General features: G+C 36.3%; 1 protein-coding gene and 1 long non-coding RNA gene across 2 annotated transcripts in view, besides 1 other annotated feature; one reads left to right on the plus strand and one right to left on the minus strand.

The window, feature by feature from the left end:
* The window catches only part of IGSF10 (immunoglobulin superfamily member 10), a 187,494-nt gene that overhangs the window by 140,164 nt on the left and 22,457 nt on the right, over positions 1–24,873 (minus strand). The window contains exon 3 of the mRNA XM_011512709.3: positions 8,944–9,059. The gene's annotated coding sequence lies outside the window, so the exon portion shown is untranslated. The remainder of the gene's footprint in view (positions 1–8,943; positions 9,060–24,873) is intronic.
* The window catches only part of LINC02066 (long intergenic non-protein coding RNA 2066), a 105,814-nt gene that overhangs the window by 20,439 nt on the left and 60,502 nt on the right, over positions 1–24,873 (plus strand). The window lies entirely within an intron of this gene.
* Positions 7,383–7,583: a silencer, noted in NCBI's record as "peak4860 fragment used in MPRA reporter construct". NCBI's record gives its function as "represses an SCP1 promoter by STARR-seq MPRAs in K562 erythroleukemia cells {active_cell/tissue: K562}" and the evidence as "EXISTENCE:reporter gene assay evidence [ECO:0000049][PMID:32103011]".

Genomic DNA, 24,873 nt, shown 5'->3' on the forward strand with positions numbered 1-24,873 from the left:
TTGATTCTTCTCTCTTCTCCTTTATTAGTCTTGCTAGTGTACTATCTATTTTGTTGAGCTTTTCAAAAAAACAGCTTCTGGATTCATTAAATTTTTGAAGGGTTTTTTTGTGTCTCTATCTCCTTCAGTTCTGCTCTCATCTTAGTTATTTCTTGCCTTCTGCAGGCTTTTGAATGTGTTTGCTCTTGCTTCTCTAGTTCTTTTAATTATGATGTTAGGGTATTGATTTTAGATCTTTCCTGCTTTCTCTTGTGGGCATTTAGTGCTATAAGTTTCCCTGTACACACTGCTTTAAATGTGTCCCAGAGATTCTGGTATGTTGTGTCGTTGTGTCTTTGTTCTCATTGGTTTCAAAAAACATCTTTTTTTCTGTCTTCATTTCATTATTTACCCAGTAAATAATGCAGGAGCAGGTTGTTCAGTTTCCATGTAGTTGTGCAGTTTTGAGTGAGTTTCTTAATCCTGAGTTCTAGTTTGATTGCACTGTGGTCTGAGAGACAGTTTGTTGTGATTTCTGTTCTTTTATATTTGCTGAGGAGTGCCTTACTTCCAACTATGTGGTCAATTTTGCAATAAGTGCGATGTGGTGCTGAGAAGAATGTATATTCTGTTGATTTGGGGTGGAGAGATCTGTAGATGTCTAGTAGGTCTGCTTGGTGCAGAGTGAGTTCAGGTCCTGGATATCCGTGTTAACCTTCTGGCTCGTTGATCTGTCTAATATTGACAGTGGGGTATTAAAGTCTCGCATTATTATTGTGTGGGAGTCTAAGTTTCTTTGTAGGTCTCTAAGGTCTTGCTTTATGAATCTGGATTCTCCTGCATTGGGTGCATATATATTTAGGATAGTTAGCTCTTCTTGTTGAATTGATCCCTTTACAATTATGTAGTGGCCTTCTTTGTCTCTTTTGATCTTTGTTGGTTTAAAGTGTGTTTTATCAGAGACTAGGATTGCAACCTCTGCTTTTTTTTGATTTACATTTGCTTGGTAGATCTTCCTCCATTCCTTAATTTTGAGCCTATGTGTGTCTCTGCACATGAGACGGGTCTCCTGAACACAGCACATGGATGGGTCTTGACTCTTTATCCAATTTGCCAGTCTGTGTCTTTTAATTGGGGCATTTAGCCCATTTACATTTAAGGTTAATGTTGTTATGTGTGAATTTGATCCTGTCATTATGATATTAGCTGGTTATTTTGCCTGTTAGTTGATGCAGTTTCTTTCTAGCATCGATGGTCTTTACAATTTGGCATGTTTTTGCAGTGGCTGGTACCAGTTGTTCCTTTCCATGTTTAGTGCTTCCTTCAGGAGCTCTTGTAAGGGAGGCCTAGTGGTGACAAAAATCTCTCAGCATTTCCTTGTCTGTAAAGGATTTTATTTCTCCTTCACTTATGAAGCTTAGTTTGGCTGGATATGAAAATTCTTTTCTTTAAGAATGTTGAATATTGGCTCCCACTCTCTTCTGGCGTGTAGAGTTTCTGCTGAGAGATCTGCTTTTAGTCTGATGGGCTTCCTTTTGTGGGTAACCCGACCTTTCTCTCTGGCTGCCCTTAACATTTTTTCCTTCATTTGAACCTTGTTGCACCTGACAATTATGTGTCTTGGGGTTGCTCTTCTCGAGGAGTATCTTTGTAGTGTTCTCTGTATTTCCTGAATTTCAATGTTGGCCTGCCTTGCTAGGTTGGGGAAGTTCTCCTGGATAACATCCTGAAGAGTGTTTTCCAGCTTGGTTCCATTCTCCCTGTCACATTCAGGTACACCAATCAAACGTAGATTTGGTCTTTTCACATAGTCCCATAATTTTTGGAGGCTTTGTCTATTTCTCTTTACTCTTTTTTCTCTAAACTTCTCTTCTAACTTCATTTCATTCATTTGATCTTCAATCACTGACACCCTTTCTTCCACTGGATTGAATCAGCTACTGGAGCTTGTGTATGCATCACATAGTTCTCATGCCATGGTTTTCAGCTCCATTAGGTCATTTAAAGTCTTCTCTCCACTGTTTATTCTAGTTAGCCATTCATCTAATCTTTTTTCAAGGTTTTTAGCTTCCTTGTGATGGGTTCGAACATCCTCCTTTAGCTCAGAGAAGTTTGTTATTACTGACTTTCTGAAGCCTACTTCTGTCAGCTCGTCAAAGTCATTCCCTGTCCAGCTTTGTTCCATTGCTGGTGAGGAGCTGCAATCCTTTGGAGGAGAAAAGGTGCTTGGTTTTTAGAATTTTCAGCTTTTCTGCTCTAGTTTCTCCCCATCTTTGTGGTTTTATCTACCTTTGGTCTTTGATGATGTGACCTACAGATGGGGTTTTCGTGTGGGTGTCCTTTTTGTTGATGTTGATGCTATTCCTTTCTGTTTGTTAGTTTTCCTTCTCACAGTCAGGTCCCTCAGCTGCAGGTCTGTTGGTGTTTGCTGGAGGTCCACTCAAGACCCTGTTTGCCTGGGTATTGCCAGTGGAGGCTGCAGAACAGCAGATATTGCAGAAAAGCAATTATTGCTGCCTGATCCTTCCTCTGGAAGCTTTGTCTCAGAGGGGCACCTGCCTGTATGAGGTGTCAGTCAGCCCCTACTGGAAGGTGTCTCCCAGTTAGGCTACACGGGGATCAGGGACCCACTTGAGGAGGCAGTCTGTCCACCATCCTGGGATAACTACTGCTTTCTTCAGGGCTGTCAGACAGGGACGTTTAAGTCTGCAGAAGTTTCTGGTGCCTTTTGTTCAGCTATGCCCTGCCCCTAGAAGTGGAGTCTACAGAGGCAGGCAGGCCTCATTGAGCTGCGGTGGGCTCCATCTAGTTCGAGCTTCCCGGTCGCTTTTTTTACCTAGTCAAGCCTCAGCAATGGTGGATGCCCCTCCCCCAGCCTGGCTGCTGCCTTGCAGTTCGATCTGGGACTGCTGCACTAGCAGTGAGCAAGGCTCCATGGGCATAGGACCCACTGAGCCAGGTGCAGGATATAATCTCCTGGTGTACCATTTGCTAAGACCATTGGAAAAGCACAGTATTAAGGTGAGAGTGTCTCGATTTTCCCGGTACAGTCTGTCATGTCTTCCCTTGGCTAGGAAAGGGAATTCCCAGACCCCTTGTGCTTCCTGGGTGAGGCGATGCCCTACCGTGCTTCGGCTCACCCTCTGTGGGCTACACCCACTGTCCAACCAGTCCCAATGAGATGAACCAGGTACCTCAGTTGGAAATGCAGAAATCAGCCATCTTCTGCGTTGATCACACTGGGAGCTGCAGACCAGAGCTGTTCCTATTCGGCCATCTTGGAACAGACCCCTATTTTTTCATCTTTATCAAGGCTTTCTTTGTGGACTTACGTATAGGCAATTTTCACAAATATTCCATGTCCATTTGAAAATAAGGCAAGTTCTCATATACTGTGCTAGAGAGTTTAATATAATTTTATATGATCTAATTTATTGATTATGTTATTTTGAACTTTGACATCTTTTCTAATTTTTCCCATTTGATTTTTCTAGGTTTGATGTGTGCGTGTTGGTCTATTATTATTAGTTTATGTCTGTTATCTTTTTCTTAATTTACCTCTTCCAGTTTCTGCTATATCAAGTAGCTGCTATATTATTTTATCTATTTATATTTTATTTCATGTTATATATTATTTTAAATATATTAGCACCATTTTCATTATACATTTTAGACTTTAGCATTACAAAATATCCGTTTTTTGGTCTTAATTTAGGTCTTTTGGCCTAAATTATGCCTTGTCTGAAGTCAAAATTGTGATTCCTGCTATTTATTTATTCACTTATTTACATTTTTATTTGCCATCATCTTCTCTGAATCATCATCTTTCTGAGTCTCCTTGTTTTGAATATTTTCATAAACACAGACCAGAGTTTTATTTTGCTTTGCAAGCCAATCTGAATTTTTCAAAGGCATGAAATTCTCCTTACATTTAATCAAACAGACAATTCGTTTGGTCTCAGTGAGATAGGAGTTTGGCAGGACTTCTTTTAGAAGATCACAGTCACAAAGACCCTGCTGATAAAACGATGTGGTAAAGAAGCTGGCCATAACTTCCCCAAATCAAAATGACTATGAAAGCACCTCTGGTCATCCTCACTGCTCATAATACACTAATTATAATATATTAGCATACTAAAGGAAATTGCCACCAGTACCACGAGAGTTTACAAATGCCATGCTCATGTGGGAAGTTACCCTATATGGTCTAAAAGAGGAGAGGCGGGAGAAACCCTCAGTTCTGGGAATTCCCAGCCCCTTTCCCAGAAAACTCATGAATAATCCACTTCTTGTTTAGTGTGTGATCAAGAAATAACCATAAAAATAGCCAGCTACCAGCCCTTGGGGCTGCTCTACCTATGGAGAAGCCCCTTTTTTCCTTTACTTTCTTAGTAAACTTTCAATTTACTCTGTCGGCTTGCTCTTGAATTCCTTCCTGCACAAAGCCAAGGCCTCCTGGGCTGAACCTCAGCTTTGGAGTCTGCCCTATGACATCGGGTCTGTCATGTGGTTTTACGTTATATTTATTCTGTCCATATATTTATGTATATACAAGCATATTTATATGCACACTTTCTCTAGGTAGAATTGTTTTCTTTGGCATTTCTTTTGGTATTTAGGAAGATTTTTATTTCTGGTAGTTACCTTTTTTGAGCATAGTCTTATAATCTTTACAACATCCTCATGAAAAAGAAGATGCTTTATAACATGGCTAGGAAAGTAAAGTGGAAGAACCCGGATTTGGGATTATAGCCCATGTCCGCCCATATTAAGGGGTCTGTCCTTTAATCCAGTAGTCTACTAAGCTTACAATGCTATATAATCCTTTTTTCCCTCAAAGACTAAATCTTCTCCATTTTTACATGAGCTTTATGTTGTGTCACATTCTAGACTTGTCCTCAAATTTTAGAGATACTTCCCATGGTATACCTAATTATGACTTATCTGTACTAAATATTGGTTACCAAATTTCTAATGATTAAAGTTTTAAAAACTACATATCATATTAAATGCATATTGAGGGGCTTCTCTGAGAATGTTGAAAATTGGAAAAAGCATCACTCCTAAACCAACACCAATAAAAAAAAAATCCACAAATGCCAGCAACTATACAGAATCGTAACTCTTTCTTTTTTTTTCCTGACCTCTGAGAACTATAGATATAGTAACTTTTCTTGAATGCATCAGAGAGTTGAGTTAATAAGGGCAACAAACTACCTGAAAACTAAGAAGAGACAGGTGGCTTCATTAAGAGATGAGTAAGTGAGCTCACCTGGGGTAAAGCATGGGAAAACAAGGAGACCACCAGACAAGTGGGCAATGCGTATGCCTGAAAACCCAAGCATTTGTGCTCTTTGTTTCTTTTAATGTTGCTTTGAAGTAAAATAGCCCATCCTCTGCAAGTCCATCTATGTTGTCCCTAAGGTATTCTATCTTTGCTCAAATTTTTAAGGATGGTGGTTTGTTTCACAGTTTTTGTATTTGAGTCTAATGAACATTCTAACATGATAGAGGCAATGCATTACTGTGTAGCCATAATTTTCTGGAAAAGTTGACATCTTAGGAATTGTATTTCATATCTTCAATAAAATTTGTTTCTAAATTAAAAAAATGAAAGAAATTACCTAAATTTTTAATAAATTCCTAGAGCCTAACTGTAGGGTAAGTGTAAGACAAGGATTGGCAAACTTATTCCTGAAAGGCCAGATAGTAATAGTAAATATTTTAGGCTTTGTGGGCTATGGGGTATCTTATGGCAAGTACTCAACTCTGTGGTTACAATACAAAAGCAGCTATAGCCATTATGCAAATAACTAGGTGTAGCTGTCATAAGTTTTCACTGAAAATTTATTTGCAAAAACAGATGATTGGTCTAACAAGCCATAGTTTACTGACTTCTAACATAGAATACCTAAGAATAGCAAATAGAAAGGCAGTTTGTACTCACTGGCAGGCTCTTCTCTATGGACCTCATTGATTGCTCATGAGAATGACTGAGATCAAGGCAGTAGACCAAAGAGAACTCCTTTGCAATGCGATACTGAGTAGAGTAACAGCAATGGGAGATAAAGAAAGCCCTGCCTGCATCCTTCTTCCTATCTTTTCTGTGAAACAAACACTTTAAGCCACTAGGGGCAGGACAACAAATACTGTCTCAGATGTAGGTGAAGACCCATTGGAGCTAGGAGAAGAAATAGAAAAAAAGATCTTCTATCTTTGAGGGAAGGACAGAAAATTGCTTTTAGCCAAGACCATTAGCAGTTTACTACTGCTGGTCAAGAGGCAGAATCATTGAGGAAGACATACCTGTGAGACACAAAAAGACAGGTCTTGACCAAGACTGAGGATAAAGAAAGAAACAGAATGTTTCCACCTACTACTACCACGCTAGCTAGCACTGAATAAGTTGTGTCAGTCTATCAATGGGAAAGAGTAAAGAAGATGAAGGGAAACCTTCTCTGAGGTTTAGACTCACAGAAAAAGACTAAAGTCAAGGGTTGAAAAGAACATTAAAAACATTCTCCGAAAACCCAATCCCTACCCAAAGCACAAGATAATGCTAGAGAAATCTGAGGCCAGTGGTGTGCTAGGGGTAAATATAGCACTAACACAACCCAAACCCCATTATCTGAGTCAATTCCTTGCATTAAATGTGTAGTATAAAAGGAGTGTGCCTAATTCTGGATATAAATACTATATACCTCAGTATTCAACCAAAAATTATGAGACATACAAAAATGCAAGACAAAGCAACTTTCTGTCAAAAAACAATGCAATCAAGAGAACCAGACTCACATGTGCCCAAGACATTAGAGCCTTCAGGTAGAGAATTTAAAAACAAACAAACTATAAAAATATAGTTAAAGATTCTAGTGTAAAAGGTGGATAACATTCAAGAAAATATAGGGATTTTTGTCAGAGAAATGGAAACTGTAAGAGAGAATGATATAGAAATGGCCAGAAACAAAAAATATGTAGTAACAAAAGTAAAGATCAATCAAAAGAAATGATTCAAACAAAAAGTAAAGAAAAAAAAAACTGCCAGAGAATTCAAAAACTGTGGGGCAATGTCATATGGTCTAATATATGAGCAACTGGAATCCCAGAAGGAGAAAAGAGAGAGAATGGAGAGAACAAATAAATATTTGAAAAGATAATGGCTGAGTGTTTCCCCCAAGTCACAAAAGACTTCAAATAACAGATCCAAGAAGCTCAGAGCATTCAGAAGAATAAATATTACGAAGGAAAGAAGAAAGGAAGGAAGGAAAGAAGGAAGGGAGGAGGGAGGAAGGGAGGAAGGAAAGGAAGGAAGGAAGGAAGGAAGGAAGGAAGGAAGGAAGGAAGGGCCTAGTGACATTGTATTCAAACTGTTGAAAACCAAAGATAAAGATAAAATCTTGAAGCAGCCAGAAGTAAAAAGACATACACATGGAGAAACAAAAATAAGAATTGCAACAGACTTCTTATTAGAAGCTATCCAAGCCACAACCAAGCACCACGGCTCACACCCTTAATCGCAGCACTGTGAGAGGCTGAGGTGGGAGGATTGCTTAAGCCCCAGGAGTTTGAGATCAGTCTAGGCAATATAGCAAGATCCAGTCTCTACAAAAAATTGAAAAAAATTAGCCAGATGTGGTCATCTCCAGAAATCAATGCCCAGTTAATATACTACTGAAAAAATAAAGAATGAGGACTTTACACGTAAGAAAAACAAAGAGAATTTATTATCAGCCAACTTTCACTATAAGAGAACTTAAAGGAAGTTCTTTAGGCAAAAGAAATACATCAGACAGAAACCTGGATCTACACACAGAAAGAAATGTTGAAAATGGTAAAAATGAAGGTAAATATAAGATACATCTTTTCTTATTCTAATCACTCTAGAAGATAATTCACTATTTACAAAATTAGTAGCAATGTATTTCATGTATACAATGCATAAATGTTTGTTGAAGCATTTTAATATTTGATTATTGATTACTGGGAAAGCCTGTCAAAGTTTGTTGTGACTCAAGATCATTATTTAGCATATAACTCACTTAATCACCCACCAACCATCTGACAAACTAACTAACAAAAGACCTTCAGCAGTTTTAACGTTAAAAAAAAAATCTGTCTATAAGGGAGCTTACTGTGTGTACACTTACGGAGGAATTCTACTGTGGTTCAGTTTCCAAGGATGATTTATTGCCTTTGTAATTCTAACATTCTTTGTGCCTTACAGAAGAAAGAACTAAATTGCCCAACTTGATTCCTAGCAGAATTCTTCACTTGTTTATAACCAGACATTTTTTCAAGTGCCCTTAAATTTATGGTATCTATTGTCTTCTTTCTTCTCATGACACCCAAATTCCAGATCTGTTTTTTATAAAATCAGATTTTTTTTTTTTTAAATAGAGAGAGAGGAGAGAAGAAAAGAGCGGGGGAGGGAAAAGCTTTTATCATAGCAGAAAAAGCTATTTTGTTGTATAATCTTTCTTGTTTGGGGACAGAAATGATTTGTAAAAAAGCAAGCAGTTTATATTTTCTTACACATGTTCATGGATCTTTTTCTCAGTTTTCATGTTGCTGTGTTAGACTGTGGGTGAAAGTAGTCTGCCACGAAATTTTTGTGGTGCTTAGTAAATATAAATTTGATACAACCAGAAGTGACGTAATGTGGTAGTTCAGCAACCCCATTCAACTTAGACCCCAACAGCTTTAACAGAAATCAGCAGTTCTCACACTTTCTATTCATACCACAAGCCTCTAGAGACTTCTTATAACCTGCAGTGATCTTGATCAAAATGGAAATGAAGAGACAAATTATAGTTTTTTTTTAAACTCTGTATTTCTTTTTGTGCTCACTGTCACTACCAAACCGTATCTAGAGGACTGTTATTCCTTTGTGTTGTTTGGTACCTCAAACAAAAATGAGATTACTGAAAGAGTCTTGGAGTTCTTATTAGTGGAATGACAGCTCACCTTATTCATAGCACAAAGATTTCTGAAGCTTCCACCATGTAATGGGTCCAAAGTTTGCACTTTTTCTTCCCACTGCTAGAAGAGATTCTTTCCTGTACTTGTTGAAGACCAGATCCCTGATGTGACAAATAATGAAGCAGATTTAGAAGGTGATATCTAAAGCCATTTATGAATAAGTTTATAGCTTCTTTCAATTCTCCATATTTTAGTTATTCAACGGTGACTGCATTTGTAGAATATAGCCATTATTGGCTGGGCATGGTGGCTCAAGCCTGTATTCCTAGTACTTTGGGAGGCCGAGGTGGGCGGATCGCTTGAGGCCAGGAGTTTGAGACCAGGCAGGCCAATATGGTGAAAGTCTGTCTCCACTAAAAATACAAAAATTAGCATGGTGGTGCACACCTGTAATCCCAGCTACTTTGGAGGCTGAGGCATGAGAATCGCTTGAACCCGGGAGGCAGAGGTTGCAGTGTGCCTACATCACACCACTGCACTCCAGCCTGGGTGACAGAGTGAGGCTCTGTCTCAAAAAACAAACAAAACAAAAATATACCATTATTTACTTTGAACAACACAAAATGCTGTCCCTGAAATATATTTCTAAACTGTAAATAGAACAAATAATAGATTGTCTTTAAAGAATTGAACCGGTTTTCCATAACAGATATTTTCATTGGCTTCCCCAAATACCCAAATGCAACTATGAGGTATTATATATTTTTATTTTTAAATAAATATTTTATTAAAAATATCCGGGGGGGGGGGCGGGAAGCACAAATTCTAAGTGAAAACCCATTTAACTAATACTCAGATCAAGAAATAGAGCAAGAATCCAGCAACCCAGAAGTCCCACTTTTTTCCCTTCCAGTGATTATTTTCACCAAGTTTAACACTATCCTGATTTCTATCACTAATTTATTTCGCACCAGATTTTGACTTTTATGTAAATGGAATAATATAATATATACCATTTTGTGGCTGGCTTCTTTAGCTCATTATCATTTGTGAGATTGATTTATGCTATTGTATTTAGCTACGGTTTGTTCATTTTCACCGCAGATAGTATGCCATTGTATGAACATATTGTTATTTTTTCACCCATTCAACTATTGATACTAGCTACCTATCATCCATCTATCTATTGTCTGTCTATCTATCTATCTATCTATCCATCTCTATCAAACTGCATCTATTGTCATATATCTTAAACAGAATAGGACTTGCAGTGCAATGTTAAATACAAATGGTGATAGTGAGCAACATTTTCTCATTCATTCTCAAAATCAGGGGAATTTTTCAGCACTTCACATTTATGTATGATTTTTACTAATTTTTTCTAAATATTCTTTATCAGTTTAATAAAATTCCCTTATTTTACTAAATGTCATTTTTTGGTAAATATTCTTTATTCCAGAAAATATCTTTTATTCCTAGCTTGCCTAGAGGTTTATTTTCTTACCCGTGGTCTTGCATGTTATCAGTTTTTCTTGCATCTACTGAGATCTGTGGTAATGCTCTCTGCTTCATTCCTGATATATGTTGTTGGCTTCCTCAGCTAATAACTTTTTGATATTGATTTTTTATTGCATGTATGTTTTCTAGTTAACTAATTTTTTTGTTCTTTTCTTTATTATTTATTCTCTTTATTATTTGTTCTTTCTTATTCTTATATTTATTTTTTCTTCTTACTCTTTCTTGGGTTTAATTTGTTATCTTTTCTTTACTTCTAGAGATGAATACCCATACAATTGCATTTCAGGCTTTCCTCTTTCCTAATATGTGAATTTAAGTTATAGATTTTCCACTAAGCATAGTAATAGCCAAATTATACATTTCAAATATTACATTTCATTATAATTCAGTTCAAGGTATTTTAGTACACATTTTTATTAACTTTCACCCAGTTATTTAAAAATGTTTGCTTAACTATCACAAGGATAGAAAACCAAACACCGCATGTTCTCACTCATAGGTGGGAATTGAGCAATGAGAACACTTGGGCACAGGGTGGGGAACATCACACACCAGGGCCTGTCGTGGAGTGGGGCGAGAGGGGAGGGATAGCATTAGGAGATATACCTAATGTAAATGACGAGTTAATAGGTGCAGCACACTAACATGGCACACGTATACATATGTAACAAACCTGCACGTTGTGCACATGTATCCTAGAACTTAAAGTATAATAATAAATAAATAATAAGTCTGCTTAATTTCCAGACATTTGAAAATTTTATTTTAATCTTTTAGTTATTTATTTCTACCTTTATTTCACTATAATCAAATAATATATTTGAATCATTGGAGTCCTTGTAGATTTGTCAAGTCTGACTTTTTGGCCCAACATATGGACTATTTTTGTAAATGTACACTTGTCAAAATTGTATATTCTGTCATTCGATGGTATATTTTAGCAAGTGTTTTTGTTTTATTAATTGTGTTACTTAGATTATAAATAGCCTTACTAATTTTCTGGATGCTTGTTTTATCAGTTATCAAAGAGTGTCATATTCTCTCACTTTAGTTGTGGATTTGTGTATTCCAGTTTTTAAATTGATCAATTTTTGTTTTTACATATTGTGAAACTATATTATTAGGTCCACACAAATTTAGAATTTTTATATCTTCCTGGTGGATTGATCCTTTTATTATTATGAAAGAATTCTTCTCATCTTTAGGAATGTTTCTTGCCTTATAGTAGATCTTATCTGACATCAGTATATCAAAACCAGACTTCTCTTGGCATTTGCATAGTACATCTTTCCGTACCCTTTTTATAAGCAACACATAGGTTTTCTTAATGTTTTTTGTCAATTCTGACAATCTTTATCTTTTAATGAGGCCATTTAGACCATTTGCATTTTAATATACTTGCTGATTTATTTAGGTTTATGCTCACCATATTAATAATGCTTGTGTTTTATTTGTCTTACTTATTTTATGTTGCTTTTTCTCTCTCCCTCTTGCTTTCTCTTTTATAAACCCAGGGGCTTAGATCAGGTTCCCTAGAAACAGCCTGATACAGTGATGTGGATGCACATGATTTATCAAAGGAGTGCTTTAAGAAGAAAGCGAAGGAAGCAGAATAAGGCAGGGAAAAGAGTTGAGCTAAGATGTGGTCCCAGGTGGAGGCTGGTTTTAGCTTTACCCCCTGGGGATCTCCAGAGCATAAATTGTACCATGAAGTCAGTCCAACATTTTGACAAGGTTGACAGCCATGTGTCAGTTATTCATTGTTGGGGTTGGGAGCATAACCTCCTAGGGAAGCTGGTTCCTCTTTGGCTAAGGGGATTTCTCCAGATAGGGGAAGCTGTGAGTCATTAGCAGCTAACAAAGCAGATGGGGTGCAGGTGTGCTGACCAAGTAACGGGCAATAGGGCAGGGCACTGTCTGTGTTCATTATATCCAGCAACTTTATTTAAAATTACATTCTTTTGTATTTACAAATTTTCTGATTATATGTCCTTTTACATTTAGTCCTTTTAATGATTACTGTAAAGATTGCAAGCTACTTCCTTGGCTTATTAGAGTTTAATACTGCTTTGTCCAATATGATAGCCGCTAGCCACATGTGGCTGTAGAGCACTTGTAATATGGCTGGTTTGGGTTGAGATTTGCTGTTAATATAATTTGAAAGATTTAGTACAAAAAAGTATGCAAAATATCTCATTAATAATTTTTATATTGATTATATGTTGAAATGATCATAATTTGGGTTAAATAATATATATCAAAATTGACTGTGTTTATTTCATTTTACTCTTTCTAATGTCACTACTGGAAAATTTAAAATGACATATGTGTCTTGCATTATATTTTAATGGGACAAAGCTGTTTAATATAAACTGATGTTTTTACTACTTCTCAACCAAAGCTAAAACCTTACAATTTCTTTTACTCTGTCTCATATTTTGCTATTGTTGCATGCATTTGTACTTATATATGTATTTTAAACTATGTACATGTCACTGTGTTTTCATGTGGTCAGTTATCATTTATATTTGCTGATATTTTTATTTACCTTTTTATTGGGTTCCATTCCTTTCTGTATTTTCTTATTCTTTCTGGGATTATTCTCTTCTGCCTGTAAGACTACCTTTAGTATTTGCTTTATTTTGTAACTACTGTTGATGAATTCCCTCAGTTTTTGTTTAACTGGAAATAGCTTCACTTATTTTTTTCTAATAAGATATAATATATTTTATTTGTTTTTACTTCCATGCATGTGGAAGAAGAAAGTGTCAATTAACCTCTTGTGCCTTGGTGAACTTAAAAACCTTTACACATTTTAGAAAATAATGATGCCAATTTAAATACCATTACCTGGACAACAAATTATTAAATAAGGCAATTCAGAATTACAAGCATTTTAGAGATTAAACGTTATATTTATGGGATAAACCATTTCTGAAATATTATGAAGTTGCTTTGCTCACATTAACCATTTTTTTTTTTTTTTGAGACAGGGTCTCACTCTGTTGCCAAGGCTGGAGTGCAGTGTTGTGATCACAGCTCACTGCAATCTCCACCTCCCGAGCTCAAGCAATCCTCCCACCTCAGACTCCCGAGTTGCCACCACGCCAGGCTAATGTTTGTATTTTTGTAGAAATGAGGTATCACCACATTGCCCAGGCTGGTCTCAAACTCCTGGGCTCAAGCGATCCGCCCACCTCAGCCTTCCAAAATGCTGGGATTATAGGCATGAGCGAAGGCACCTGGCCCATATTAACTTTTTCATGGACAACATATACATTATGATGCCAAAAAATTAGCTTTTTTTCTATAGTTTCAATGAAAAAGAATATTTCTTTCTTTCCTTTTTACCTTGCTAGTATTTCATCACCAACATTAGAAGAACCTACAGTTTCAAAGTTAAGTGCTATAATTTTATTAATTAGCACCAAGAAATATCAATGCTTATCTGAGGAATAAAAACTGGCAATAAGAAAAGAAAAACAGTATAGTATTATAACCAGAGAATATGAAGCATGTAATTAGATCAGAAATAGTACTTAATTAGGGCCAATGAAATATGGTGATAAGCCTGCTGTCATTGATTTGGGAAGTTTCTTCAGAGTATTCTTTATCTCCCCTTGAAATTGTCATTTCTGCATATGACTTTTGTAACTGCTCCGGATGCCTTGCTAAGCTGTTTCATTGTGAAGAGATGCAAATACCTGGGTCCTTGATTCCAAATGTTTTCTGACCAGTAAAGTGCTTATTAATCAACTGGTGAAATAAAAGGTGTCCTTGTTCTTTAAAGTCAACCTAAGAAATTCTTGTTACTAGCTCAAATATACAATGGAATGGCATTATAAGAAAATGGAGAGGGGGGGAAAACACAAAAAAAGAAAACCCAGTAAAACTATTAGCAAAGGAAATGCAATAACATGAATAAATGAGGCCCTGTTCTGACTTGAGCATGGGTTCAGTGTATACTGAGGCATTTTGTAATTTAAAGTAGGAATTAATAAAGTAAATAAAACTTGATATCCTGTTTTATAGCATTTGTTTTGGTAAGAAAAATTTTTGAGGGAATTTGTTCTGACAGTGTGTTGGAACAAAAAAAAACCTCACAACTTATGGCAATTCATTAATTAATTCAACATCCATGCAGCCTCTCTATATCTTAGACACCATAGTTCTTAGAAGATGAGTGAAGCATGGTTCCTGCATTCAGGGAGCTCCAGACCCACATTTAGGATCTGAATCAGAGTATCACGTCAGAATTTTCTCCTAACACAGAGAATTCACCTCTGAAAACCATACTGTTTGGTGGTTTTCTTGGATTAATGTCATCTTGTATTGTGAATTAATATGTAAGTTTGGCTCAGACATATTAGTCTGTTGAGAATGTGTAATTTTTGTTCTGGATAGAACTAAGGTGATGTTTTGATTTATTTTTAAAAAGAGTAGCTAACTTTTACTACTTGCAGTACTTGAATGAATAATTTGTTTTCTGGGCATTGAATCAGATTTTTTTTTCAGTTTTTATTGCTTGTATAGGATTACAAATTTGTTTTCAAAATGACACTATGAATTATTTTTCTTGTTAACACTTGCCAAAATTCCTACAGCAGCATATTGGCCAAAACACATTTCAATATTGATATGGTTTGGCTGTGTCCCCACCCAAATCTCATTTTGAATTGTAACTCCCATAATTCCCACATGTCATGGGAGTAACCCAGTGGGAGGTGATTGAATTATGGGGGCAGGTCTTTCCTGCACTGTTCTCATGATAATGAATGAGACTCATGAGATCTGATGGTTTTAAGAAACAGGAGTTTGCCTGCACAAGCTCTCTCTTTGCCTGCTGCCATCCATGTAAGACATGACTTGCTACTCCTTGCCTTCTGCCATGATTGTGGGGCTTCCCCAGCCACATGGAACTGTAAGTCCAATTAAACCTCTTTCTTTTGTAAATTGCCCAGTCTCAGGTATATCTTTATCAGCAGCGTGAAAATGGACTAATAAAACATTTGAAGAAGTAAAGTCAAAAGTTCCAGAGGACACTAAATGAATTAAGTGAGGTATGAAATAAATAAATAGTCAATATAAGCTAATTTTTGAGATACCTAAAGATTAGGATTTGGGGCTTCAAATAATAGTGTATCAATTATTTTCAGTGTTTCAGTTAGATTCATGTGTCAGAGACAGATGCATGAAAAGGACCTTATCTGAGCACATAAAACTAGTTTTAGAAATTTTGAATTCACTTCTTCTGCTGGGTCTCATCATGATGGCCTTTCTTGTTCTGGTCCTGAATCCCCAGAAAAATGTAACTGGGGAATATTCAGAAGAGAACACAATAGTACACTCTCCTATGTCCAGCAGCCCCTCTAGCTGATTGTCTGCCATAACTGAATTCCAAATGTTTTCTGACATAGCTGATACTTATTTTTTTCCCTATAGCAAAACTTCTCTGGGGGTTTATGTGCATACAGAGAATCTTAGAAAAATTGGGAAATGCATATACACACTAATATTTTTGTATAATTTCAGGGGCATGCAGTTATGAGCTCCTATTAGGTGGTTACAGCCCAGTTTCTGATACGGTGTATACAATTTATGACAACTAGGACTTAAAAATTAAGTAGATCATCTTTGCATTTGGTAAATATTAACTGAGGTCCTATATGCCCTGTTCCAGCAAGGAATGTCATGGTGAGGAAGACAAAATCTCTGCCCTAATGGGGCTTACATCCTAGTGAGGGACACAGACAGACTGACCACAAGCAAATAGAACAAGAGAATATACAATAGAATATCAAGTAAGTAAAATGCAGAAGCAACAAAGTAGAGTAAGAGAATAGGGAGTGCCAGGGCTTGCTATGAATGCATAGTCAAAATAAAACAAGTACAAAAGTAGGAGTTTCCTTAAGAATTTTTAAACTATGGTTTCTAAATTTTAGTATTTCTTTATAGCAATATAAAGAAGAAGTATTATAGCAATAATCTTAGGAAGATATAATTTAGAAATCATAACAAAACTTTTCATTAAAACTATTTCTATAGTTATATAAAATAAATGACATATAAATTAACACATTTTCTTTGGAAATTGATAAGTAAAAATTTTTGCTAAATTTTCTTCAGTAAAATTTTATGGAAAATGCAGTGAGCTCTTTCTGAGTTCTTTCTAGAAGCCTTGTTAGCTTGTTAGCTTGTTGTCCTTCTGTAGAGTTAGAGATCATTTAAAAGTTGGAAGAGACATGGTTTCTACAAATAGAACCAAATGGAAACTGTTGGGAGAAGAATATTATCTTCCCTCAGCCATTCTGAGAGCGGCAATGAAGTTAGGTTTTATTTAATGCAGATGTGCCATCACTAATTTTCCATCTGAAGATGTACTTGACAATGATCTTACATGCACAATCTTGCAACATTAGTGTATTTCACCCAGCTGACCACGGAATCCTTGTGTGGCCAGGGAGACCAGAGACCATGTTGCCTTTGGAAGTGAGAGAAACTCTGAGGAAATCCATGGTAAATCCTTCCATAGTAAACCTCTTCACTGTTCTTTGGCCACAGAAGAAGGATTTGCAACTACACTTGTCTGCGACTTGAGGAAGCAGAGTGTGCTCTCTTATTTCATAGTCTTTGAAATATTACAAAATTTTTCACTTTTTATGTCATGCCAACTAGAAAAAAGGGTTTTTGATGGGAAAACCACTGCCTAAGCCATTGCCAAAAGTGATGCAAATGAACCCTAAATGACTCTGCAGGGTGATTTAAATTTCTTACTGAAGTAAATGGCTATAGACTTTATCCTAGTCATTCTTTTACTAATTAATCCAAAGGAAAGGTTTTCTTTTTCAGTCACAGCTAGGAATATATTGCTTTGAAAACTTATGATGTGTTTTTTAGAATGTCTTCAGTGGTGACCAACTTTTGCCCTTTGAAAGAAAGAGTTTACTTTTTTTTTAAGAATAAAATAAAAAATTATTGGAAACTGGTTTTGGGAAAAAGAGTGAATGATCAAGTTGGGTATTTTTTTATTTTTTAGGTTTTGTTTTCTTTAGAGTCTCACTCTATGGCCCAGGCTGGAGTGCAGTGGTGCAGTCATGGCTCACTGCAGCCTCTATCTTCTGGGCTCAAGTGATCCTCCTATCTCAGCCTCCCAAGTAGCTGTGACTACAGACGCGTGCCACCACATTTGGCTAATTTTAAAAAATTTTTTGTAGAGACAGGTTCTTGCTATATTGCCCAGGCTGTTCTTAAACTCCTGAGCTCAAGCAATCTTCTGCCTTAGCCTTCCAAAGTGCTGGGATTAAAGGCATGAGCCACCGTGCCCAGCCAAGTTGAGTAATTTAAAAAAAAATGAAAACAAGAAAAGATTATAAAATAAAATGGATGACTTTATAGTGCAGCTGGTGTTTTGATTACCAGAGGAAGAGCCCTTGAAATATTTCAAACAATGCAAGCATTATTGGAATGGTCCCTGATGAAAATCTGTTAAAGATAACATTTAGTGGAGTGCAAACATTTTGATATATATCACAATAATACCTCAAGTAAAAAAGATGACATGGAGTAAGATAAATTTACCATGGTTGCACAGGAAAAAAATGTGAGAGTGGAGGCAGTATTCATGACCAAGGTGTTAGGAAAAGCATCATGCAGAGATGGCTCAGATTTTGATCTTAAAGAATGGGTAAGATTTAGATGTGTAGAAAAGAAACTATTTCATCCCATGGACAGAAACAGAAGGAGGGTAATGCAACATATATGTGTGAGATAGAAAGCAGATAAATTTGACTGAAGTAACGTTTTCATATAAAGAAGAAGTAAGCAATAGGGATCACTAAGAATATTGTGGTAAATTTAGATTTGGGTGCTTGGCTAGGGAGCTCTAATTTATATTATGATCAATGGCAAGTCACTGAAGGTTTTTGAGTACAGTGATGGTGTAGGGAAAAGACATTAGGAAAGTTGATCTGGTAGCAGAATGGATTAGAGAGAGGAGTGAACTGGAGAAAGGGAGGCTACGTGTAGATTCTAATGGTGGAAGAGATGTGAAATGAATCTGCCTTGTGATGGCCATCATGTACTGTTGGATGGGAAAACATGATGCAAATGCACATTTCTCATTCCCAAAATGTCAGAACATTCGGCTAAAAGAAAAGATACATGTTGGCATAATGCATCAAGAAATATGCAATATTTCTGTATTTTTTTCTATAATTTATTTATGCAATAGGAAAAAAAGTGGGAAAACATTAATTCTGCTATTAGGCAACCAGAGTAGAGATTCAAAAATATAAACATCTTAGTATGCTACAAATATTCTTTGTAAAAAGCATTAAAATTTTGTTGTATTTGATGATTATAATTATTTTACATATATAAAAAATATATAAATATAAATATATAATATATTTATATAAAAATATATAAATATATATATTATATATATATTTACCAGATACTAAAGATAGTTCCTTAACTATCTTTAACTAGTACTTATTACTAGTTGCAAGGCACCATGCTGAAAGTTGTGAAGGAGAAAAAGGGAATCATAAATAGAAATTACCTTTAGGGAGTTAACGATCTAGAAGTGGGAGTTGAACTACACCTGGATAAGAAGAATGCAAGGGCTAAAGTGCAAAGTTCCTTCTAGAGAAAAAATGCTAAATAGGTTGGAGAGATAATATTTAGCTCTTTAGGGAAGGCTTGCTGGAGAAATGGCACTTAAGCCTGGCCTGGAAAAATATATAAGATTGGCTATGAAGTCCTGGAAAGAGGAAGAATTTTGCTGTGCATTATTCTTTTTTGTTTAGACTGTTTTATGAAAGATGCAAAAATCCTGGAAATATTTTGGCAAATAAAAACACATCTTTCTCTTTTTTTAGCTTGCATAAATGTGCTATTATGTTTTATTACACTGGGAATGATGTTTTAATAAAGACAAAAATTTAGCAAATTTTAAATGCAGTTTGTACCATCAAAAGAAGGAATTGAGTCTTTAAAAATATTTTTTAATGAAATTATATGTCTCCTGAAGTAGTAACAAAGTATAGTGGTTAAAAGCATGAACTCTGGAGACTACTAGGTTCAAATCTTGGCTCAAAATTTTACCAGTTGTATGACTTTGGGTCAATGACAGAACTTTTTTTCTTGCCTCAGTTTCCTTACCTATTAAAAGGGGGTTAGAGAAGTGTTTATTGTTTTGAGATTAATACACACACACACACACACACACACACACACACACTCCACATACAAACGCACACACACATGTAAGGGGCTGGGATTTGATTTCACCTTACTTATAAGCTAAATAAGACCTTTACTATTTCATGGATGTTGGCAAATTAGACCCTTATTGTTTCATGGAAAGCTCCTGACAGAGACAAAGGACTTTGTTGTTGAAGGCACAGCAGGCAGCATGTGCATCAGGTTTGCATCAGTTCCCTTGTCCTCCAAGTTCTAGGGGGATGATTCAGAGGATCCAGATAGCTATTATGCACTTGGTAAATTAGTGTTGCAGTCAAGGGACCCTGAGTTGGGGAATCCACCTCTTTTACAGCAGGCAGTATGCAGGTCTGCTCTTTGTCTCAATGGGAGATATCACCTCATTCCCCAGGGTTACCTACTGCAAATACAACCCTGAGAATTGGTTTGGGTAAAGAGTGCTCAAAACCTTGAATTATTGATATATCTAGGGAGACTTATAATATTATGAGAGACCTATAAATTTAAAGTACTTAGAAACAATGTTGTGCACATTTTAAGTGCTCTCAGTGACACTATTATCATTACTGTTGACTAGTCTACATACTGTGTAATGCAGTGCTTTGAAAGAACAATTATCATGAAATAGTCACATCTAAACTTAATATAATGTTTGGGTATTGCAATATTTATCATATATTTAAGTGAAAAGAATTACAAAGAAATGTATTTTATGTAAATACATTTCTCAGATATATACTTGAACAAATCTGAAATCTTGTTTATAATCAGTAGCACATAACTGCTTTGGTTCCATTAGTCAATTTGACAGACGTTTAAACACTCTGTCAACATTTTATTAATTAAACCTAAGTATAACAATTAGCATGTAAAAAATGGTTCTAATTAATTATTTTTTAATTTTTTCCTTTTAAGACAGGTGCTCGCGCTGACATCCAGGCTAGAGTGTAGGGACATGATGATAGCTCACTGCAGCCTTGATTCTCCCACCTCAGCCTTCTGAGTAGCTGGGAACACAGGCACAGACAACCATACCTGGCTAATTTTTGTATTTTTTGTAGAGACGAGGTTTCACCATGTTGCCCAGGCTGGTCCAAACTCCTGAGCGCAAGCGATCATCCTGCCTTCACCTCCCAAAGTGCTGGGATTACAGGCATAAGCCACCATGCCTGGCTTCTAATTAACCTCATGATGGCTTTCTGTGAGATAGGTAGAGGCTGCTACCACCATTTATGCATGGCAAATTATGTCTTTTTTTTTTTCTTTTGATTACCATGTTGTTTAAGACTTCGGGTTTTTGGGATATTTCACCAATGGTTGTACCTATGTAAAAATGAAAAGTCATCAGAAAAAAGATTTTTTCTGAAGACAAAGGCATATTTCTGACAAATATTTGAAAAAGAAAAGTATTAGGGACCATTTAGGAAGGAGGAAGACAAAGAAAAAAATAGCAAAAGTAGATAATACAGTACTGATAGAGAAAAAGATTTTGAAATGTTGAGTGTTTTGGCCATTAAATCTCAGAAAGAACTAGCATTAGGGAGATTCCTGACAGAAAAGGCAACTCAAAATTAAGAGCTGTGACTAAGAAAACCTTTTTTTAATAAATTTGATTTTATTGTAGGGGATTTTGAGAGAAAAGGGAAAGACTGCACAAACTTTCATGAAAAATGATAATATGAGAAACAAATATAAATTCTGGTTAGGATTTCATCTCAGAAAAAAAGATTGAGGAATGGGCTGAGGGAATGAATACGGCAGATCAGAAGAGACTGTTTGACCACAGGTGTAACTTAAGCTGCCTCAGCTACATTTTGCCTCTGGTCTGCTCTGGGTTTCAGCTCTTTCCAGTAGTTAAATTCAAGTAGTTTCTATGTGGTCTGTACCACACATTTAAAACTGACTCATCATTAATAACACTCTTTGGAAGCCTTGTCCTGGAACTCCAAATTCCAAGAAATGTGCCCAGATTCAAAGTTTAAGTCTTAATGGCTGAGCTATGGGAGATACTGTCTGTGAATGTAATAGCAGCAGAGATTTTTTTTTTAAGAGAGCTGTGAATAAAGATTCCATTATGTAACTGAATAAAAACTGCTTTTTTTTTTTTTTTTTTTTTAGACGGAGTCTTGCTCTGTCGCCCAGGCTGGAGTGCAGTGGCGCAATCTTGGCTCACTGCAAGCTCCGCCTCCCGGGTTCACGCCATTCTCCTGCCTCAGCTTCCTGAGTAGCTGGGACTACAGGCACCCGCCACCACGCCCAGCTAATTTTTTGTACTTTTAGTAGAGACGGGGTTTCACCGTGGTCTCTATCTCCTGACCTCGTGATCCGCCTGCCTCGGCCTCCCAAAGTGCTGGGGATTACAGGCTTGAGCCACCGCGCCCGGCCCTTTTTTTTTTTTTTTTTATCAACTCTTAGAATGTATGATAAACTATAGAACTGTGTAACATGTCTACCAAATTTGAGTTTTAGTAGCATAGTAGGGTGACTATAGTTAACAACAATATATTGAATATTTCAAAATAGCTAAAAGAGAAGATTTTAAAATATTCCCAACACAAAGAAATGATGAACATTCCAGGTGATATCCTAAATACCCTGATTTGATCATTACACATTGTACTCATTTATCAAAGTATTGCATATACCCCCAAAAGATGTACAATTATTATGTACCAATAAAGATTTTTTAAGCAAAAATAAACAAGCAGAACGACAAGGACCTAAACAGACATTTCTCTTAAAAAGACATAAAAATGACCACTAGGTATATGAAAATGTACTCAACATCAGTAATCATCAGAGAAATGCAAATCAAAACCACAATGAGATAACGCCTCACACCTGTTAGAATGGTTATTATAAAAAAGACAATGGATAACAATTGTTGGCAAGGGTGTGGATAAATAGGAATCCTTGCACACTGTTGGTAGGACTGTAAATTAGTACGGACATTATGGAAAACAGTATGGAGGTTACTCAAAAAATTAGAAATAGAACTACCGAATGACCCAGTAATCCCCCTCTTCTGGGTATATACCCAAGGGAAATGAAATCAGCCCCCCACAGAGATATCTTCACTACCACCCTGCTCACTGCAATATTATTCACAATAGCCAAGACATGAAAGCAACCTAAGTGTCCATTGATGGCTGACTGGATAAAGAAAATGTGGTATAGACCAAACATTCTTAAAATTAAAATATATCATATATTTCACATACATAACATAATGGAATAATATAGTGTTATATAATATTATATATTTATAATAGCATCAATACTCTAATATATTATTATATTCTATTATAGAATAAAAATGATCTATATATTATATACATAAATATAATGGAATCTTATTTGGCCTTAAGAAAGAAGGAAATCCTGTCATTCGTGACAACATGAATGAACATGGAGGACATTATGCTAAGTGAAATTAGCCCCAGAAACAGAAGAAAATATACTGAGTGATCTCACTGATATCTGGAATCTGAAAAAAAAAAAAAAGGTGAAGTACATAGAAACAGAGAATAGAAAGGTGGTTACTAGGGGAAGGAGAAGGAGAAGGAGGAGGAAATGGAAAGAAATAGATTAAAGGGTACAAAGTTGCAGTTACGTAGTGGAATGAATAAGTCTAGAGATCCAATGTACAACATGAGGAATACAGTTAATAATATTGTATTGTATTGTATATTAGAAATTTACTGAGAGTAGATTTTAGGTGCTCTTACCACACACACACACAAAAGAGGGTAGCTATTTGAGATGATGGGTGTGTTAATTTTCTTGACTGTTGTTACCATTTCACTATGTACAAATGTATTAAAAAATCACATATACCTTAAATATATGTAATTTTTGAAAAGACAAAAACCAAAAAGCCAAATGTGGTCATATGAATGGTTCAATGGGCTTTGCTGAGCCATGGGTGACAATTAGATTGCTACTGTCACTATTGTAAATTTTTAAAAACAGTAACATAAAGCAATAGACAAAACAATGTTTTCATGGGAGCAGGCATATCACTGAATGCCCATTTACTAGATGCCTAGGAGACCCTGTGTGAGATGCTTCCTATAAAGTTTGTTTATAATTAGATGCGTCAGACATAATGTATTTTTAAATGTTTATTTGCATGCTTGACAAAGGATAAACAAAACAAAAGGCAAAATGACAAACCAAAAATGCTTTCCATATAAGGAAGTCCATTCTAGTGAATTCAAAACAAAGATATTATGGTGTTTATGTGTGTGTGTGTGTGTGTATTGTGTATGTGTTTTCTATGCATGTTCTTATGCGCTTTGGCCTTGCTACAATTGCCTATGTGTATCTTGTGTATCTACATCTTCCCTGACACCAGCGTCTTAGAGACGCCTTCTTTCTATTCCCAATCCCTAAGGTATCTTGTAATGCACTCCTTCCTTAGGTCCCAGTTACCTAGACCAGCATTGAACAATGGGCCCAATTTATGCTGGTCAGGTTTTCTCTCCCTCACCAGAACTGAAATTAGGTCACTGAGAAATGGGCACTAAGATGATGGGTGAGCATGTAAACTAAATGGATGTTATTAGGTGTCATATTGAGCCAAAGCTATGATATGCTAGCCAAAGTCGTGGTGGGAGTTTGAAATCGCAAGCAAGGTTTGAGACCTCACAGAAAGGTAAATGGTATGGCGAGCTGCCACTAACTGAATGGTGGAGATGGGCCTTCCACACTCTGCCAGTAGTTCCTATGAGACTCCAGGCAAGTTGTGTAACTTCTCTGAGTTTCCGGGGTTTTTTTTTTTCAGTAAATAAATAGATTGAAGCTGGCAGTTTCCACAGTTCCTTTATGATGTTAATTCTATCCTCCAAACACACGATTGTCTCAGATATAAACTACTTCAGAATAGTGAAGTAGTACCAAATGAACCATTGACCTCACTCTACAAGTGTTCGACAGTATTTCAGAGCATGCATCTTTAGGCACTGTGTAGGTGTTGTGGACACAGTGAGGAAATGGACACAGATTCTACTTCACGGGTCTTATGAATAACACACATTGATTAAATAATCACCCAAATGTCTAATCATGAACTTTGGTTAGTGCTACGAAGGACAAATATAGAGAGCTAGAACAGCACTAAAAAGGGGCTTGGTTGCTCTGGGATGAGATCAGAGCCAGCTTTTCTGAGGAAGCCCAGAGAGCTGGAGGATAAGTAAATAAAGATGAGGAAGAAGAACATCCCTGGCATAA

The sequence above is a fragment of the Homo sapiens genome, chromosome 3 (assembly GCF_000001405.40).
Source record: "Homo sapiens chromosome 3, GRCh38.p14 Primary Assembly".
Classification (NCBI taxonomy): domain Eukaryota; kingdom Metazoa; phylum Chordata; class Mammalia; order Primates; family Hominidae; genus Homo; species Homo sapiens.